Consider the following 20,777-nt stretch of genomic DNA (forward strand, 5'->3'; position numbering starts at 1 on the left):
TTAAGAAAGGGGAGAAAAAAAGGTACCTGAAAGAAAATCAAATAGGAATGACAGTATTTAGTGTATGGCCAGTGGTTTACTTAGTAACTGGATGAACAGACTAGAGTTACAGGTTTTGTTTTGTTTTTTTTTTCTATTCCAGTAGTATATCTGAGTAAATCCTGTCCCTCAGTAGATCATCTCTTGGGATCTGGTTTCTTGATCTGTATTTCAATATATTCTATATTCCATATAGATCAAGACTTTCTAACATAAAGCAGTGTGGAATAGACTTACTTTTTATCTTCTCTGTTACTCTTTTGATTTGTGACTTTTACCAATTTATTGAACTTCTTAAGTGTCAGTGTTTTTAATCCATTAGGTTATCGCCAAGGCCTCTAAAAGCTCTAAGATTCAGTGATATGAATACATATTTGCAGTATTAGAGACATTGTACTGTTTTCACTTGGCTTCTAGGACATTAGATTTTCTATTCTCCCTTTCCTATGCTCACTCCCAGATTCCTTAACCAGTTCCTTGCATCTTTGTGTATTAGAATGCCTCAGGGATAAGTCTTGGATTTCTGCTCCTTTCTAGCTGCACTCACTTCCTTGGTAAGCTCATCTGATTTCATCATAACTTCACCTTTACATACTGCAAACTCACAAATTATCTTCCCTGAACTTGAGACTCCTATCCTGCTGCCTGCTTATCATCTTTACTTGACTATATAACGAACATATCAAACATAAACTGAACTGATAGTCTCCTAACCTGAAACCTGCTTCTATAGTCTTCCCCAACTAAGTTATTGGCAAATACGTCCTTGCATTTTCTCAGGCCAAAATCACATCATGATCCTTGGCATTTCTTTCTCTGGTACCCCATGCCCTGTCTGCAGATCTATTGGCAAAACCTCCCAACATCTTAACAGCAGCTTTACTACCACACTTTTCCAAACGGATTACCTCTAGCCTGCATGATTGCATTAGTCTGCCTCCCTGCTTCTGGCTTTTACCTACTCAGGCTATTCCCAGCACCCAGAATGACAACTTTGAAAACAAAGCTTGCCGCCACGTGCAGTGGCTCATGCCTGTAATTCCAACGCTTTAGAAGGCGGAAGTGGGCAGATCGCTTGAGGTCAGAAGTTTGAGACCAGCCTGGCCAACATGGTGAAACCCCATCTCTACCAAAAATAAATAAATTAGCTGGGCATGGTGGTGCATACCTGTAATCCCAGCTACTTGGGAGGCTGAGGCAGGAGAATCGCTTGAACCTGGGAGGCGGAAGTTGCAGTTAGCAGAGATCATGCCATTGCACTCTAGCCTGGGCGACGGAGTGAGACCCCATCTCAAAAATAAAAAAAAAAAAGAAAGAAAAAGTTTGCAGATGAAAACTTCCCATTGACTTCTCTTTTTGCCCAGAGTTAAGCCAACAGTACTATTACTTGTAATTATCTTCCTATATAGCTAGTTGAAAGATTATGGTGTGTATATATAGAGAGAGAAGTTGAATTTTTATACCAAAACATTTTCTCCTAATATGATGTGCAGGAACAAAACATTTTTTACATCAACTATTCCCTTTTCCTAAGGCAGGTGAATAATCTTGTTTTTTATCTGTACAATTGAAATATTAGAATATACCAAAGACACATTAGATAAAATAGGTGAGACTAGATATTCATGAAGTCATTACTTTATTCCCAGAGCTTTACTGAGGTATAATTGACATTTAGTGCATATCCATATTTAAATGTGGATGTTTAGGTTTCAGAACTGGAATTTGATAGAGAAAAATACAGAGTCTTAATCATAGGAAAAATGAATTACATAAATAATTTTCAGCAGGCATACTAGAAAATAATTGGTTAATCTTGGTCTTTTATTAATGCATCTAGGGGTGATGATATACCTTTATTAATATTTAACTTATTTTAGTATATTTGTTTATTATTATTATTTTTTTTTGAGGCAAAGTCTCGCTCTGTCACCCAGGCTGGAGTGCAATGGTGCCATCTCTGCTCACTGCAACCTCCGCCTCCCGGGCTCAAGCAGTTCTCCTGCCTCGGCCTCCTAAGTATCTGGGATTACATTACAGGCATGTGCCACCACGCCCAGCTAATTTTTTTCTATTTTTAGTAGAGACAGGGTTCCACCGTGTTGGCCAGGCTGGTCTCAAACTCCTGACCTCAGGTGATCCACTGGCCTCGGCCTCCCAGAGTGCTGCAATGACAGGCGTGAGCCACTGTGCCCGGCCCCTGGTTTATTTCTTAATTCCACAACTTGTGCTGTGTGGAAACTATTTTCTAATGTTTTCCACTGACACTTACTATGACTAATGGTGTCTACTTACCTGGGGAAGAAAATGGCAACACATAAAAATTTCACTCAGTGACGCTGCCCTTCTAAAAGACACAAACAGGCACAGAATATCTGCCTGGTCGATAAGGTATGCTCAGCATCATTACTCATCAGGGAAATGCAAATGAAAATCACAATAAGATAACTACTACATGCCTGTAAACACAAATACCTCATGCATTGCTGGTAAGAATGTGGCTTAACCAGGCAGGGCACGGTGGCTCATGCCTGTTATCCCAACACTTTGGGAGGCCAAGGTAGGTGGATTGCTTGAGGTCAGGAGTTCAAGACCAGCCTGGCCAACATGGTGAAACCCCATCTCTACTAAAAATACAAAAATTAGCCAGGCGTGGGTGGTGGGCACCTGTAATCCCAGCTACTCGTGGGGCTGAGACAGGAGAATCTCTTGAACCTGGGAGGCAGAGGTTGCAGTGAGCCGACATCGCGCCACTGCACTCCAGCCTGGGTGACAGAGCGAGACTCTGTCACAAAAAAAAAAAAAAAACAGAAAAAAAAAAAAAAACAAATAATGTGGTTTAACCACTTAAAGCCAGTAATATCTACCAAAGCTAAACATACACCTTCAGTATGCCCTATCAGCTTCATTCCTAGGTATATATCTAAAAGAAATTAGTGTCTATGCCTACTTTTTAAAAGACATGTATAAAAGAATATTTATGGCAGATTTATTAATAGCCCCAACGGGAAATAACTTAGATGTCTCATCAACAAGAAAATTGATACATTGTGATCACACACTGGAGCACTACATAAACAGTAAAAAAGAGCCTATCATTGACACAAACAACATGGATGAGACTCAGTCATGTTGAGTGACAAAAGCCAGACACAAAAGAATACATACTGTATGGTTCAATTTTTATGAAATTGAAGATGAACCAGAATTTATGGTGATAAAAAATACGATAGCCCAGCGCAGTGGCTCACGCCTGTAATCCCAGCACTTTGGGAGGCCGAGGCGGGCGGATCATGAGGTCAGGAGATTGAGACCATCCTGGCTAACACGGTGAAACCCCGTCTCTACTAAAAATACAAAAAATTAGCTACAGCGAGACTCCGTCTCAAAAAATAAAAATTAAAATTAAAAAAAATTAAAACAAATAAAAAAATACGATAGTGGTGAGGGTGGGCAGGAGTTGTGAGTAGGAGGAGCAGAAGTGAGGCTTTGTAATGCTAAAAATACTCTATTTTTATCCAGGCGGTGGTTACATGGATATATACAGATATAAAAATTCATCCAGCTGCATGGTATCTTAACTTTGCTTAAACTTTAACAAAAAAATTTATAGCAGCTGGGTACAATGGTGCACACCTGTAGTCCCAGCTACTCAGGAGGCTGAGGCAAGAGGATTGCTTAAGACCAGCAAGTCTGGGCTGAAGTGTGCTATGCCAGTCAGGTGTCCACATTAAGTTGGGCATAAGTATGGTGACCTCTTAGGAACAGAGGACCACCAGATTGCCTAAGGAGACGTGAACCAGACAAGGTTGGAAACAGAGCAGGTCAAAACTCCTGTGCTAGTCAATAGTGAGATAACACCTGTGAATAGCCACTGCATCCCAGCCTTGACAACATAGTGAAACCCAATCTCTTTAAAAAATAAAATCTTTAGTATAAAAGCTGCCATCCTCTTTAAGTAGCATTTAGTGTTTTGAATGAACGTGGTTTAATTATTGATGATCTGTTGGAAGATCCTTAACAGAAAAGTTAGTCAACGGTATGAACAATTCACATGATTATTCTACATAGTAAGGCCTGAGTCCTTATGAATGAATATATGAATATTTACATAGCCACATTAACTATGTCTTACTGATTTGAGACTTGAGCAAAATTTATTTACCGGACATAGATTTATGAGGTACTGATTTATTCATATTATCTTCTAAATTATAAAGATTGACACATTTTGAAATTTCATATTCCTGTTTGCCTGTTAGGATTTGTTATAATAGATTTAAGTTGATTGTATATACTGATCCTAAAGATATCAGTACAATATAGATTTGATCACTACTTTGTAAATAGAAGAAGAAATGGAACAAAAGCATGTTTTCAGTTATATACTTTTTCACATTACTGAATTTAGATTAGAGCAGTCCAAAATTGCACACATTTCTTTATATTATCGAAGATACAGTTTCTATAGTATTCATTTTTTTTTTTTAAAGTTTTAGGCCGGTTGCTGGCCGGATGTGGTGGCTGATGCCTATAATCCCAGCAGTTTGGGAGGCCGAGGTGGGTGGATCACGAGGTTGGGAGTTCAAGACCAGCCTGGGCAAGATGGTGAAACCCCGTCTCCACTAAAAATAAAAATAAAAAATTAGCCGGGCGTAGTGGCATGCGCCTGTAATCCTAGCTACTCTGGAGGCTGAGGCAGAGAATCGCTTAAACCTGGAGGGGCAGAGGTTGCAGTGAGCCGAGATCGCCTCACTGCACTGCAGCCTGGGCTACAGAGCGAGACTCCCATCTCAGTAAAATAATAATAATAATAATAATAATAAATCTTGAAATTTATTTTATTTATTTACTTATTGTAGAGATGGGGTCTTGCTATGTTGCCCAAGCTGGTCTCAAGCACCTGGCCTCAAGTGATCCTTCCACCTTGGCCTCCTGAAGTGCTAAGATTACAGACTTGACCCCCTACTCCTGGTCTATAGTATTTAGGGTTAGAAAAATAGGTGTGGTAGGCTGTTTTTGCATTGCCATAAAGGAATACCTGAAACTGAGTAATTTATAAGGAAAAGAGGTTCCATTTGGCTTCTGATTCTTCAGGCTGTATAGGAAGTGTGGTGCCAACATCAGCTCAATTTCTGGTGAGGCCTCAGGGAGCTTATGATCACAGCAGAAGATGAAAGAGGAGCCTGTTTCACATCATGAGGGTAGAAAATAGAGTGGAAGCAACAGAGAGCAGGGAAGTTGCCACATACTTTTAAAACACTTTGTTTGAGACAGTCTCACACTGTTGAGCAGGCTGGTGTGCAATGGCACAATCTTGGCTCACTGCAGCCTCCGCCTGCTGGGTTCAAGCGATTCTCCTGCCTCATCCTCCTGAGTAGCTGGGACTACAGGTGCGTGCTATCACGCCTGGCTAGTTTTTGTATTTTTAGTGAGATGGTGTTTCACTGTGTTGGCCAGGCTGGTCTCGAACTCCTGACCTCATGATCTGCCCTCGGCCTCCTAAAGTGTTGGGATTACAGGCGTGAGCCACGCACCCGGCCAAAAAACACTTTTTTTTTTTTTTTTTTTTTTTTTTTGGAGACTGTCGCCCAAGCTGGAGTACAATGGTGCAATCTTGGCTCACTGCAACCTCCACCTCCCGGGTTTAAGCACTTCTCGTGCCCTCATGCCTCAGCCTCCTGAGTAGCTGGGATTACAGGCACGTGCCACCATGCCCAGCTAATATTTGTGTTTTTAATACAGATAGACTTTTGCCATGTTGGCCAGGCTGGTCTGGAATTCCTGGGCTCAAGTGATCCACCCGCCTTGGCCTCCCAAATTGCTGGGGTTAAAGGCATGAGCCACTGCATCCAGCCTTAAAACACTTTTTTTTTTTTTCTTTGAGACAGAGTTTCGCTCTTGTTACCCGGGCTGGAGTGCAATGTCACGATGTTGGCTCACTGCAACCTCCACCTCCCGGGTGCAAGTGATTCTCCTGCCTCAGCCTCCCAAGTAGCTGGGATTACAGGCATGTGCCACCACACCCAGCTAATTTTGTAATTTTAGTAGAGACGGGGTTTCTCCATGTTGGTCAGGCTGGTCTCGAACTCCCAACCTCGGATCATCTGTGCACCTGACCTCCCAAAGTGCTGGGATTACAGGCATGAGCCACCACGCCCAGCCAAAACACTTAAAACAACCAGCTCTCACATGAACTCAGTCATCACCAATGGGGTGGCACTAAGCCATTCATGAGCGATTTGCCCCCAGGATCCAAACACCTCTCCCCAGGCTCCACCGCCAACACTGGGAATTACATTGCAGCATGAGATTTGGAGAGGACAAATATCCAAACTATATCAATAGGTTTTGTTTGGATATTTATTTTTATTTTTATTTTTTGAGACAGAATCTCACTCTGCCACCCAGACTAGAGTGCTGTGGCTCACTGCAGCCTCAACCTTCCAGGCTCAATTGGTCTTCCCACCTCAGCCTTCTGAGTAACTGTAACTACAGTCACGTGCTACCACACTTGGCTAATTTTTTGTAGAGACAGAGTTTCACCTCATTGCCCAGGCTGGTCTTAAACTCCTGGGCTCAAGCGATCTACCTGCTTCAGCCTCCCAAAGTGCTGAGACTGCAGGCGTGAGCCATCGTGCCTGACCTCAATTATTGAACTAATTTTCTTACAATTAATTATTAAAACTGGCTGTGTGCAGTGACTCAAACCTGTAATCCTAGCATTTGGGAGGCCAAGGCAGGAGGATTGCTTGAGCCCAGGTGTTTGAGACCAGCACTGGCAACATGGCAAGACCCTGTCTGTACAAAAAATTTTAAAATTAGCTGGGCATGGTGTTGCGTGCCTGTAGTCTAAGGTGAGAAAATCACTTGAGCCTTGAAAGTCAGGGCTGCAGTGAGCCGTGTTCACACATTCTGTGAAAATTCAATCAGGCAGAAAAGTGACAACGTTTTCTCTTTGACATTGTTATGAATTGTATCTAAATTTGCAGCTCTAGATTTTTTTTCAATTTTGAGGGTTTTGAGAGCAAACTGCCTTTTTTTTTTTTTCTTTTCTCTTTTTTTCTTTTGCCCCTGCCAGACATGGTTTTTCTCTGTCGCCTAGGCTGGAGTGCAGTGACAACGATCACAGCTCACTGCAGCCTTGACCTTCCAGGCCCCAAGCATTCTTCCCACCTCAGCTTATCACAGGTGCACACCACCATGCCTGGCTAATTTTTTAAAATTACTTTTTGTAGAGATGGGTCTTGCCATGTTGCCCATGCTGGCTGGTACTCAAGCAATACCCCTGTTTTGACTTCCCAAAGTGCTAGGATTATAGGCATGAGCCACTGCCCCCGGCTGATTTCTTTTTCTTTAACCTCCTCTTCATTCAAGTTTCTGATTCTTGAAATGGTAATCTAGAGTCTGTAGTAGATTGTGTCGTCACAATAGGAAGACAGTGCAAATAGAGGAAATAGACAGTATTTATAATAAGGATTTTTGAATCTCTAAGAACTTATTAATTTTTTTTTTTTTCGAGACAAGAGTCTCACTCTGTGGCCCAGGCTGGAGTGCAGTGGCGCGATCTCGGCTGACTGTAAGCTCCGCCTCCTGGCCTCAGCCATTCTCCTACCTCAGCCTCCTGAGCAGCTGTGACTACAGGCACCTGCCACCACTCCAGGCTAATTTTTTGTATTTTTAGTAGAGATAGGGTTTCACCGTGTTAGCCAGGATGGTCTCAATCTCCTGACCTCGTGATCCGCCCGCCTTGGCCTCCCAAAGCGCTAGGATTATAGGCGTGAGCCACTGTGTCTGGCCTACTTAAAACTTTTTAAGAAAATTTTTGTAAAGTACACAGCATAAAATTTACTAGGCCAGGCATCGTGGCTCATGCCTGCTGTAATCCCAGCACTTTGGGAGGCCAAGGTGGGTGGATCGCTTGAGCCCAGGAGTTCAAGACCAGCCTGGGCAACATGGTGAAACTCCATCTCTACAAAAAATACAAAAATTAGCCAGGCATGGTGGCGTGAGTCTGTAGTCCCAGCTACTTGGGAGGCTGAGGTTGGAGGATCGCTTAAGCTCAGGAGGTTGAGGTTGAAGCTACAGGGATCTGTGATCACACCACTGCATTCCAGCCTAAGTGACCGTGAGACCCTGTCTCAAATAAGCAGGGCCAGGCGCAGTGGCTCACGCGTATAATCCCAGCACTTTGGGAGGCCGAGATGGATGGATCACCTGAGGTCAGGAGTTCCAGACCAGCCTGACCAATATGGTGAAATCCTGTCTTTACCAAAAATACAAAAACGTTAGCCAAGTCTGGTAGCATGCGACTGTAGTCCCAGCTACTAGGGAGAATCGCTTGAACCTGGGAGGCAGAGGTTGCAGTGAGCCAAGATTGTGCCACTGCACTCCAGCCTGGGCAACAGAGGGAGACTCCATCTCAAATAAATAAGTAAGTAGGCTGGGCGTGGTGGCTCTTGCCTGTAACCCCAGCACTTTGGGAGGCCGAGGCGGATGGATCACCTGAAGTCAGGATATATATATACATACATACATACATACATACATACATACACACACACACATACACATACACATACACAAAAGCCAAACATTTTGTTGATCCATTCATCCATCCATGGAAACCTTAAGTTGCTTCTACCTTCTGGCTATTGTGAATAATATTGTTATGAACATTTATATATTAATACTCCAGTTACTGCTTTCAGTTCTTTTGGATGTATACCCATAAGTGGAATCACTGGATTATATAGTAACTCTGTGTTTTTTGTGTGTGTTTTTGTCTGTGTGTGTTTTTGTTTTTTGTTTTTTTTTGAGGGACTGCCATACTGTTTCCCATAGAGTTTTCACCATTTTACATTCCCACAAGTAGTGCACAAGAGTTCCATTTCTCCACAACCTGGCTAACAATTACCATTTTTTTTATGGTAGCCATTCTAATGGATATGAAGTGATAGGTCATTGTGGTTCCAATTTGCATTTCCCTAATGATTAGTGGTGTTGAGCATCTTTTTATGTGTTTATTGACACTTTATATATCTTCTTTGGAGAAACGTCTGTTCACATCCCTTGTCGATTTTTTAACCAGGTTTTTTTTTTTTGTTATTGAGTTGTAGGAGTTCTTTATGTATTATGGATATTAAGCCCTCACCAGATAAATGATTTGGAAATATTTTCTCCTGCAACACAGAAGTTTTTTTGTTTTAAGTAGTGGGGTCTTGCTGTGTTGCCCAAGCTGGCATCGAACTCTTGGGCTCAGGTGATCCTCCCACCTCAGCCTCCCAAGTAGCTGGGACTACAGGTGTGTGCCACCACACCAGCTTCACAGGAGTGTTTATTTTTATTTCTAATTTTTATTATTTTCTTTCTTTCTTTTTTTCGAGACAGAGTCTCGCTCTGTCGCCCAGGCTGGATTGCAGTGACACAATCTCGGCTTACTGCAGCCTCTGCCTCCTGGGTGTTCAAGCAGTTCTCCTGCCTCAGCTTCCCACGTAGCTGGGATTACAAACATGCACCACCATGCCTGGCTAATTTTGTGTTTTTAATAGAGATGGTGTTTTACCATGTTGGCCAGGCTGGTCTCGAACTCCTGACCTCAGGTGATCCACCTGCCTCAGCTTCCCAGAGTGCTGGGATTACAGGTGTGAGCCACTGCATGCGGCCAGGAGTTTTTAACTTTGATAAAATTGTCGTGCATATTCTCGTATTTTTTGCTTTGGTTTCCTGTACCTTTGATGTCATATCCAAGGAATCATTGCCAAATTCAGTGTCATGAAGTTTTCTCCCTTATGTTTTTGCTTTCTAGCTCTTACATTTAGGTCTTTGATCCATTTTGAGTTAATTTTTATATATGGTATAATGTAAGGGTCCAGCTTCACTAATTTGAGAGATTATCAGTTTTCTTTTTTTCTGTTTTTTTTTTTGTGTGTGTGTTTTGTTTGTTTGTTTGTTTGTTTTTTGAGATGGAGTCTGGCTCTGTCGCCCAGGCTGGAGTGCAGTGATCTTGACTCATTTCAAGCTCTGCCTCCCGGATTCACGCCATTCTCCTGCCTCAGCCTCCAGAGTAGCTGGGACTACAGGCGCCTGCCACCACGCCCGGCTAATTTTTTTGTATTTTAGTAGAGACGGAGTTTCACCATGTTTGCCAGGATGGTCTCGATCTCCTGACCTTGTGATTCACCCACCTCGGCCTCCCAAAGTGTTGGGATTACAGGCATGAGCCACTGCGCCCGGCCCAGGATTATCAGTTTTCAAGAAAAGTGTTTATTGCCTTGTTGAGATATATGTTAGACTACCTATGTGATAGTATGAAGGACTTGCAAGATTTAGATGCTTTTATTTTACATGCCTTTATGTTTTTCTTTCAAATTAAAATAAATATTATGAGTTTAATAGTTGCCTTAGTATTAAATACTTCCTTTGAGTGAAAATTTTTCTTTGCTATTCAGGTAAATTTCCTTTAAATAAATAATTTTATTAAAAATTACATAAGATTTTGTTTCAGGTGACACCATGGATTTTAAAATTAGATTGCTTAGAAAGTCCATTGGAAAATTAAATAGTGCACTTAAGTGTTGTATATTTCATTGGTTATATTTTGTCTTTGTGTTCCTTATGTTATTTTTGGTGGTTTAAGTCAGCTTTATGCTGATAACATCTAGGTAGCTTTTGATATGTATGTGCCTTTAAACATTCTCTTTGAAATTACTCAAACTATCAAATGAAATTAGAGAAAGAATTTCCCCTTGTTATTGTGAGACTAGAAAGACGGGCCATTGCGGTGTCTTACACCTGTAATCCCAGCACTTTGGGAGGCAGAAGTGGACGGTTCACCTGAGGTCAGGAGTTTGAGACCAGCCTGGCCAACACGGTAAAACCCCGTCTCTACCAAAAAAAAAAAAAAAAAAATCAGCCAGGCATGGTAGCAGGCGCCTGTAATCCCAGCCACCCAGGAGGCTCTGAGGCAGAAGAATTGCTTGAACCTGGGAGGCAAAGGTTGCAGTGAGCCAAGATTGCACCACTGCACTCCAGCCTGGGGGACAGAGTGAGACTTCGTTTCCAAAAAAAAAAAAAAAAAATGTAAAAAATGGTGAGTAGAAAGACAAGAATGAACATTTGAGGACTGAGTTTGGCTTTTTGTTTTGACTCATGTCTTAAAAGAATATTGTGCATTTAAAAGAGATGAGGTTTCACCATCTTGCCCAGGCTGGTCTCAAACCCCTGGGTTCAAGCGATCTTCCTGCCTCAGCCTCTCAAAGTACAGAGATTACAGGCATGAACCACCGTGCCTGGTCCTATTTTTAATTTTTTGAGGAAACTCCATACTGTTTTTCCATAATGGTTGTACTAATTTGTATTCCCACCAGCAGTGTGCGAGGGTTTCCTTTCCTTTACATCATCACCAACACTTGTTCATTGTTTTTATAGTAGCCGTTCTAACGAGTGCTAGGTGATATCTCATTTTGGTTTGTTTTTTATTTATCTATTTTTGATGGAGTATCACTCTGTCACCCAGGCTAGAGTGCAGTGGCATGATCTCAGCTCACTGCAACCTCAGCCTTCCAAATAGCTGGGATTAGAGGTGTGCACTATCACGGCCAGAAAATTTTTGTGTATTTAGTAGAGATGGGGTTTCGCCATGTTGCCCAGGTAGGTCTCGAGCTCCTGACCTCAAGTTCAGGTGATCTGCCCACCTCAGCCTTCCAAAGTATTGGGATTACAGACATGAGCCACCATGCCCACCCTAATTAACAGTATTTGTCAAATTTTAATGTGCATCAGAATCACCTGGAGGACCTGTTAAAACAACCCTGGAGTTTCTTTTTGTTTTTTTTTTTTTTTCGTTTTGTTTTTTGTTTTTTATTTTGTGGAAAACAAAAGTAGAAAAACTAAAACCCCAAACTCCAGAAAAAATCCTAAAAAATGTTTTTTCTTAAAAAATACTGTATGTCTCTACTCCTCTCCCTCCCTCCCAACAGCCCTTCTTGTGTTCTTTTCTAAGTGCCTTACCCCCCCACCCCCATGACTATCCATTGTTCTTGCTATTGTGCCCCCACTTCCCAATATCTATCCAGGATGTGCACCCCATGTTCTCTTACCTGGCGTCTTACTTTTTTCTCCCTCAAATTTCAGCAAGCCTCATACTTGCAGTCTCATTTCGCCAGCATGCAAGAACTGTCTCCCCCTTCCTTTTCTGGGACTCAATAATCTTTTCCCCTTACCACTCCCTCACCCCAGGCCTATTATAAGCAGGAGCATGTCCTCCTGCCAAATTCCCTCCCTGTTCCCACCCACCCCCCCACCCTTCTTATCTCGAGAAATGTCAGAACCTTCCCCTGGGCAGGCTTAGCCAGGAATAAAACATTTTTGTCTTCCCTCGTTCTATAGGACCCTTTTCCCTCCCTCCACATACACATGCGCCTCTAAGAGAAGGAAATCTTTCTCTGGGACCCCGTATTCCCCTGGCCTACTCCAAGAACCCTGTCCCCCGCTCCAGCTTCTTGCACTCTCAAGAGCAACAACAGTCTTCTCTCCAAGGAATCATCTTCCCTCTCTCAGGATGTGTGCATCTGCTCAGCCTCCCACTCTTACCTTTCTGCCCCAGACCCCCCACCCACCAATTCTCCTGGGCCAAAGAGCCCTTTCCCCACCTAGCCCAGGGACCCCAGCCTCCGGGCCTCCACGCCTGCGCGGCTAGCGGATGAGGACATTAATCTCGGCCACACTGGTCTCCAGCACGTTCTCGGCGGTGGTCTTGCCGTGTTGCTCCTTGAGATGCCGCCTAATGGCAGGCTTGTGGGCGAAGCGCATGTCGCAGTAGGAGCAGCGGTAGGGCTGCGCTCCCGAGTGCAGGTTGAGGTGGTCGTGCAGGGTGGACTTCTGTGTGAAGCACTTGCCGCAGATGCCGCACGAGTGTGACTTGACACCACGATGCACGTTCCTGTGGTGGTTGAGGTTGTTGCTGTGGTTGAACTCCTTGCCACAGCGAGGGCACATGAAGATGAAGTGCTGCTGCCGCATGTGGAAGACCAGCTTCTCCACGCCCTGGAACACTTCCGGGCACTTGGTGCACTTGATGTTCTTTAAGGGGTTTCCACCTGAGAAGCTCCCAGGCAGGGGTCCCTGGCTGCCCCCCGCCCCCCGGGCAACCATGGCCGCCGCTGCTGCTTCCACCAGGCCCGAGGTGGCCCCCACGCTGGCCCGGCCTCCCGGAGTCAACAGCAGGCTCTCCCCTTCTGCGTTCTCCGACAGGCTATAGCAGGCCTTCACCACACCCTGCGGTGGGGCCACAGTGCTGGGGGGCACGCTGCTCTGGGCCAGCTCCCCAAGGTGGCCACCCACGGAGCCTCCAATGCCCAGGCCCCCTCCCAGGCCTCCAGGGGGCTTGAGCCGGTGTGCGATGTCCAGGGCCGACTCCACCTTGACGATGCAGATGTCAGATACGTCCTCATCCTCATCCTCTTCCTCGGCTTTCAGCTCCAAGTCCTCATCCAGTGGGAACTCCAGCTTCACTGGCCGCAGGAGTGGAGGGGATAGAGGAGGTGGGGGGTGGGGGCTTCGGGGCTGGCTTTGGGGTCCTGGCTGGAGGGAGGAGGGACTTGTTGGCGCTGACGCTGCTCACAAGGCTAGCCTCACGGACCCCATCCTCTTTGAGGCCTATTTTGGGCTCAGTGAACTGGCTGAGGGCATTCTGGCATTTCTCCACCACGTGCTCCATCTGCAGGTAGGAGGTGGCTGTAAGATAGTTGACGATGTCCCTAACAGCGAATTCCAGGGTGCCCGTGTAGCAGGAGAGAAGCAGGTCGGCCACGATGCGTGCACTGTGCATCAGGGAGACCTGCAGCTCCGAGCTGGGGTTAAGCAGGAACTGGTCCCGCAGGAACGGTGAGCAGGCGGCTAAGATGACCTTGTGGCCTCGAAACTTGAGGCTGTCGGCCACAATGGTCACGTCGCAGAACCACTCCTCTGCCCGGAGCTTGTTCATGTTCCGTAGCGTAGCGGCCTAGTGGCCGGGCAGCTGGAAGCGCAGGACTTCACCCCAGAGGCCATTGTGGCGGGGGTGGGCAACCCTGGCCCGGTTCCGCGCGCTGTTTTTTTTTAATCCCCTATTTTCCCCACCCCCGCGGGGCCGGAAGCGCCCCCCACACACGGGCAGAGCCAGGGCAGCATGTAGGCGCAGGGCGGGAGGGTGTATAGGGCGCGCTCGCGCTGGCGGGGCCGGCTCCACGTGGGCGTAAAGGGGTAGGGGCGGGAGCGGCTCGTGCGGTGTGTTCCAGGCCTCGCGCGCGCGGCGACGGCGTCGGCTAGGACTCAAACCCTGGAGTTTCTGATTCAGTAGCTCTGGGATAGAGAAAACTTCCCAAGGGATGCTGATGCTGCTGGTTGGATGAACAACACTGAGATCATTGCTTTAAGACATCCATTGTTGGTTGTTGGCAATAACTTAACTTTTTGGCTAGGGGTGGAGGTGTAGGAGACAGTCTGGCTGTCTCCCTCAGGCTGGAGTGCGGTGGCGCCATCTGGACTCACTATAACCTTCGCCTCCCAGGTTCGAGCGATTCCTGCCTCAGCCCCTCAAGTAACTGGGATTACAAGCATGTGCCACCACATCTGGCTAATTTTTGTATTTTTGGCAGACAGTGTTTCGCCATGTTGCCCAGGCTGGTCTCAAACTCCTGGCCTCAAGTGATCTGCCTGCCTCGGCCTTCCTAAATGCTGGGATTACAGGCGTCAGCCACTGCACCCAGCCTAAATTAACTTTTATCGTAGGCATCTAGGGAAGTACTATTTATGTACCAAACTTGGGAAAATTGAGAAAACAGTCACTAATTTTTTCTATTTTGTGGTTCAAATCAGGAACCCAGTTGAAAAAGGCTGGTTTAGAGTAATTGGCTAGTTGTCGTGGCTCACACCTATAATCCCATCACTTTCGGGGGCTGAGGTGGGAGGACTGCTTGAGCTCAGGAGTTCAAGACCAGCCTGGGTAACATGGTGAAACCCTGTCTCTACCAAAAAAAAAAAAAAAAAATTGTTTTTAATTAGCTGGGCGTGGTGGTGTGCACCTGTAGTCCCAGCTACTCAGGAGGCTGAGGTATGAGAATCACCTGAGCCAAAGAGGTCAAGGCTACAGTGAGCCTTGATTGTACCACTGCACTTTAGCCTAGGCAGCGTGAGACCCTATCTCAAAAAAAGAAAAAAAGAAGAATGATCTAATTTACATGGTAAAAATGGGCATTCTCTTTACATGTAACATTTTTAATATGTCCACATATTTATACATACCTCTATTAATTGATAAAGCAACTTTTTTTTTTTTTTGAGATGGAGTCTCGCTCTGTCGCCCAGGCTAGAGTGCAATGGCATGATTTTGGCTCACGGCAACCTCCGCCTCCCGAGCTCAAGCGATTCTCCTTCCTCAGCCACCTGAGCAGCTGGGATTACAGGCACATGCCACCACGCCCAGCTAATTTTTGCATTTTTTGTAGAGATGAGGTTTCACCATGTTGGCCAGGCTGGTCTTGAACTCCTGACCTCAGATGATTGCCCGCCCTGGCCTCCCAAAGTGTTGGGATTACAGGTGTGAGCCACCGCGCCCAGCCAGTGAGACAACTTTTTTTAACAGAAATGCCAAGAATTATTGCTAGACAGGTAGATACTATTTTTTAGACAAATATTAGCTTTATAAAGATATTTTCCTTATAAATACATTTAGAATCATAAATTAAGTGATGTAGTTTAATCCAAAAAACTTGTCCTGTTTCAGAATGTTATGGAATGATTTCATATTTTCTTGAAAATATGGCCGGGCGCGGTGGCTCAAGCCTGTAATCCCAGCATTTTGGGAGGCCAAGGCGGGCGGATCACAAGGTCAGGAGATCAAGACCATCCTGTGTCTCACGGTGAAACCCTGTTCTACTAAAACTACAAAAAATTAGCCGGGCATGGTGGCATGTGCCTGTAGTCCCAGCTACTTGTGAGGCTGAGGCAGGAGAATTGCTTGAACCAGGGAGGTGGAGGTTCCGGTGAGCCGAGATCGCGCCACTGCACTCCAGCCTCGGCGGCAGAGTGAGACTCCATCTCAAGAAAATAAAAGAAAAGAAAAAAGAAAATATATTTGTTTCATAGTATCTTGTTTTTAGAGTGCCATTGAAAGAAAGCCTCACATGCTATTAGTACTAATGATTTATCACTTTAACTTTGTTTAGAGAAATGGATAGAAAAATAAGTGAGTGGATAAAACTAACAAGAAGGTGGCTGGGCGCGGTGGCTCACGCCTGTAATCCCAGCACTTTGGGAGGCCGAGGCGGGCGGATCACGAGGTCAGGAGATCGAGACCATCCTGGCTAACACAGTGAAACCCCGTCTCTACTAAAAATACAAAAAATTAGCCGGGCGTGGTGGCGGGCGCCTGTTGTCCCAGCTACTCGGGAGGCTGAGGCAGGAGAATAGCGTGAACCCGGGAGGCGGAGCTTGCAGGGAGCCGAGATCGCGCCACTGCACTCCAGCCTGGGCGACAGAGTGAGACTCCGCCTCAAAACTAAACTAAACTAAACTAACAAGAAGGATCTTGGCAACAAGAAAAACAAGGACAGTTCAGAATTCGAGTTGTCTTAAGAAATAGAAAAGCTGGCCGAGTGTAGTAGCTCACACCTGTAACCCTAACCTTTGGGAGGCCAAGGTGGATGGATCACCTGAGCTCAGAAGTTCGATACCAGCCTAGGCAACATGGCAAAACCCCGTCTTTACGAAAAAAGGAAAAACAAAAAAAATGCTGGGTGTGGTGGTGTGTGCCTGTAGTCCCAGCTACTCGTGAGGCTGAGGCAGGAGAATCGCTTGAGCCCAGGAGGCGGAGGTTGCAGTGAGACAAGATAGTGCCACTGCCCACTCCAGCCTGAGCGGCAGAGCAAGACACTGTCATTAAAAAAAAGAAAAAAGGCCGGGCGCAGGTGGTTTTTCATGCCTGTAATCCCAGCACATTGGGAGGCCAAGGCGGGCGGATTACGAGGTCAGGAGATCGAGACCATCCTGGCTAACACTGTGAAACCCCGTCTCTACTAAAAAAAAAAATACAAAAAATTAGCTGGGCGTTAAGGCGGGCCCCTGTAGTCTCAGCTACTCTGAAGGCTGAGGCAGGAGAATGGCGTGAACCCGGGAGGCGGAGCTTGCAGTGAACCGAGACTATACCACTGCACTCCAGCCTGGGCGACAGAGCCAGACTCCGTCTCAGGGGAAAAAAAGAAAAAAGAAATAGGCAAATTGTAAAGTAAGGAAGAAAATATATGATAGGCAGATACATAATTATAAATGTCTATGACTTAACTATATAATTAAGATAAAGATCTAAGTAACTTTTAGCTCTACAATTTTTTAATTTTTATTAAGAAAATACTTTGCTTTTGCCTGCAGAGCCCTCTTAATTGGGATATTTTCATGTTTTGCATTTTAGGGCAGCTGCAATGACTCTCCGCACGGTATTATTGTCATTGCAAGCACTATTGGCAGCTGCAGAGCCAGATGATCCACAGGATGCTGTAGTAGCAAATCAGGTAAGATGGCCGCTTTTGAAAGACTTTCTTATATTATGTATGAGTCTCTAGCCACTTCAGTGGTTTGCACATTAACACATGAGCATACTCTATTGAAACTAAATTTTGAAATGGTTTTCTTTCTTGTGGTAGGATTATTTTGTCAGGTGTAATAGTGAAAATAGACTTTTAACATCCTAGTTTAATTGGATATAGATGCTGTTTTCCTAACATGAGTATTTTCAAACACATAAAGTCAAAAGAATTACATAGTGAACACCCATATTCCTACCATCTAGATTCTATGATTAATGCTCGTGTATGTGTCCATCTTTTTATCCTTCCTTTCAGTGATGATCCCTCCCTGCTAATAATTTTAATCACCTCCTATCATGGGACTTATGTGACATGGCACAGTTTCCAATGACCTTGTAATTTGTTGAACAGAATAAATATTTTTCATTTCGCTTTCTAGCTACAGTGGCTGAGTTTATTAGTTACAACGGAGACTGGACCTAAGTTATTAGTATCTGACCTGTTAAGAAACAGTTTGCTGGCCAGGTGTGTTGGCTCATGCATGTAATCCCAGCACTCTGGGAGGCTGAGGTGGGTGGTGGATCACTTGAGGTCAGGAGTTCCAGACCAGCCTGACCAACGTGGTGAAATCCTGTCTGTACTAAAAACACAAAACTAGCCTGGCGTGGTGGCACACACCTGTAGTCCCAGCTACCTGAGAGGCTGAAGTGGGAGAATCGCTTGAACCTGGGTGGCAGAGGTTGCAGTGAGCTGAGATCACACCATTGCACTCCAGCCTGGGTGACAGAACGGGACCCTGTCTCAAAAAACAAATTTGCCAACACCTACTCTAAGCCATTGGAATATAATGGACATTTTTTTTTTTAAACTTAGAAAGTTTTTCTTCTCTTGACTTCTAAGATATTACCCTCTTTTCTTCCTCACTTCATAGCTGTTCTTTGTTAGTTCCCACAATTATTTCCCTTCTTACTCGTCTTTCTTAAATGTAGTTCCTCAGTTCTGACCTTGTTACCTTTACTTTCTGTACACACTCACACTTGGATGATCATATCTGTACTGATGTTAGTACCTGTACATTGATAAAATGTTTAGGCTTGCCCTCTCTCCTAAGCACGAGAGCCTGGTGTTTAACTAAATTGGTAGGTGATGGTATCATAGAATGATAGGTTTGTAGGATTTATGATACTGCATTCAGTTTTGGCAGTGTTACATTCAGGTATCCAAGGAACATTCATATGGTTAACCACCCAAGTCACAGCCTTTGGAGTTTTTCTCTGTGTCTCCTTTGCTCCTGTTGATAACCATTCCCTGTATCATTCTGTCACTATATTTACATAATTACTCTGATTGCCATAGGTCACTTTTAAAAAATTGTTTCTTTTCAACTGCTCTGATAGATCTCCTTTTCTCAACCTCTTTCTTCCTTTCTCCATCTTCTACATTGCTATCAGGTAGCTTTATAAAGTGCAAATCTTACTTCACTAACAAAAACTTGTTCGTAGCTCTACTGTCATCTACTTGAGTCCAGATTCTTTAGTTTGCAGAGTTTTTCCATGATCTGAACTCTGCTTTATTTCCTAAATTCTTGTTTTCTTCAAACTCATGCTTTTTCAAGCATTGCATTCATTTTTACATATTGTATCCAATCTACCATATTTCCTCTGCCTGAGGAAACTTCCTCTTGGCAAACTTCTTTAACCTATAAGATTTTAATTTATATATTATCTTTCTTCTTTTCCCTTGAAGATCTGTTTATGTATATATGTATATATCCTTGTCAATATATTCTGTTATTTGTCTCAGAGTACTTCCAATTAGGGTTTTCCATGTTTTATATATGTGCTATTTGTTCATATTTGTTGTTATAAGCATGGCTTGTGTTCCAGCTTTGCTTTCCTATTGAGCTCTAAGCCTTACACGTTGAGGTTGGACTCAAGGGTTTCTTTTAGCTCCTAAAATAGTTCAATAATTTGACTTATTTCCTTGTGATGAATAAGTGGTAGAAACTAGATTTATCGTTTTAATATGTAATAGATTTAAATATATAAATTACTTTTAAAAGAAATATTAAAGTGAATTGAATAGTTAGTAATTTATACTTTGCTTTACTAAGTAATGGTGGTTCCAAAGTATTTGATAAATTTACCTCTTTCCAATGCATATGGGAAGTCTTTTAATAAAATTACTCTATTGTGAGTTTATAATCATCTCAAGTTATGTAATAAGTTAGGACTTTGCATGTGGGGTTTCCATAAATCACTGTACACTAATGCAGCTGTAAGAAAACAGAAGAATCTAGTTGTATTCTAGCCTGGGCTGTGGGTAATACAAAAGCTGGTTACATCGTAAAAAATTATTCTAATGTCCACATATTTTTATAAGCTAGTAATCTGTGTTCAGTTGTATAATGTTTGCTGCTTTCCAGTGTTTGGAACATCTCTTAATACCTCACTTAACCTAATTTTAGTCTTGCTAGTTATATTTGTTGAATTTGGAGATTAAAGTAGATTAATGTTACTTGTCTTTATTATTGTCAACACAAATTGTGAGTCGAAGCTTCAGGTTAAGTGGTCTTTTCTCGAGTGACATAGGTTGTCTATAATGCAAAGTGAATCACATTTTAAATGTAGATTTGTTTTATTTGGAAAAGTAGGATTGTAGGCGATTAAGAGCTGAAATATATCAAATATTATAACTGTAATGTCATGTCAATCAATTTTTCCCCCCATATAGTACAAACAAAATCCCGAAATGTTCAAACAGACAGCTCGACTTTGGGCACATGTGTATGCTGGAGCACCAGTTTCTAGTCCAGAATACACCAAAAAAATAGAAAACCTATGTGCTATGGGCTTTGATAGGGTAAGTACATAAGGGCATGTTGATTTTGATATATTGATTGATTTTAAATTATTGCAAATTCTTGGCTGACAAAAGTGGTTTAGAAAATAAGAGAAATTCGCAGCCTGGGCAACATGGCGAAACCCATCTCTACAAAAATTAGCTGGACATGGTAGTGAGTGCCTGTAATTCCAGCTACTCTGAAGGCTGAGGTGAGAGAATCCCTTGGGCCCAGGAGGTCGAGGCTGCAGTGAGCGATAGTCATGCCACTGCACTCCAGCCTTGGTGATAGAGCAAGACCCTGTCTCAAAAAAAAAAAAAAAAAAAAAAAAA

The 20,777-nt window shown here is 43.8% G+C and overlaps 1 protein-coding gene and 2 pseudogenes across 9 annotated transcripts in view, besides 1 other annotated feature; 2 read left to right on the top strand and 1 right to left on the bottom strand.

The window, feature by feature from the left end:
- Window positions 1-20,777, top strand: part of UBE2K (ubiquitin conjugating enzyme E2 K) — an 84,657-nt gene that overhangs the window by 59,210 nt on the left and 4,670 nt on the right. For 6 of the 9 annotated variants that reach the window (NM_005339.5, NM_001312648.2, NM_001111113.2 and 3 more), the window contains 2 exons: window positions 17,489-17,588; window positions 20,337-20,465. In NM_005339.5, the coding sequence (NP_005330.1) occupies window positions 17,489-17,588; window positions 20,337-20,465 (229 nt within the window). The remainder of the gene's footprint in view (window positions 1-17,488; window positions 17,589-20,336; window positions 20,466-20,777) is intronic. The other 3 variants (NM_001111112.2, XM_047450156.1, NM_001312646.2) reach the window with 2 other exon arrangements.
- On the top strand, window positions 3,655-3,953 carry RN7SL558P (RNA, 7SL, cytoplasmic 558, pseudogene; annotated as a pseudogene).
- Window positions 6,832-6,881: a silencer, noted in NCBI's record as "silent region_15372". NCBI's record gives its function as "represses an Ori minimal core promoter by ATAC-STARR-seq in GM12878 lymphoblastoid cells {active_cell/tissue: GM12878}" and the evidence as "EXISTENCE:reporter gene assay evidence [ECO:0000049][PMID:35858748]".
- Window positions 12,412-14,354, bottom strand: ZBTB12BP (zinc finger and BTB domain containing 12B, pseudogene; annotated as a pseudogene).

This window comes from Homo sapiens, chromosome 4 (assembly GCF_000001405.40).
Source record: "Homo sapiens chromosome 4, GRCh38.p14 Primary Assembly".
Classification (NCBI taxonomy): domain Eukaryota; kingdom Metazoa; phylum Chordata; class Mammalia; order Primates; family Hominidae; genus Homo; species Homo sapiens.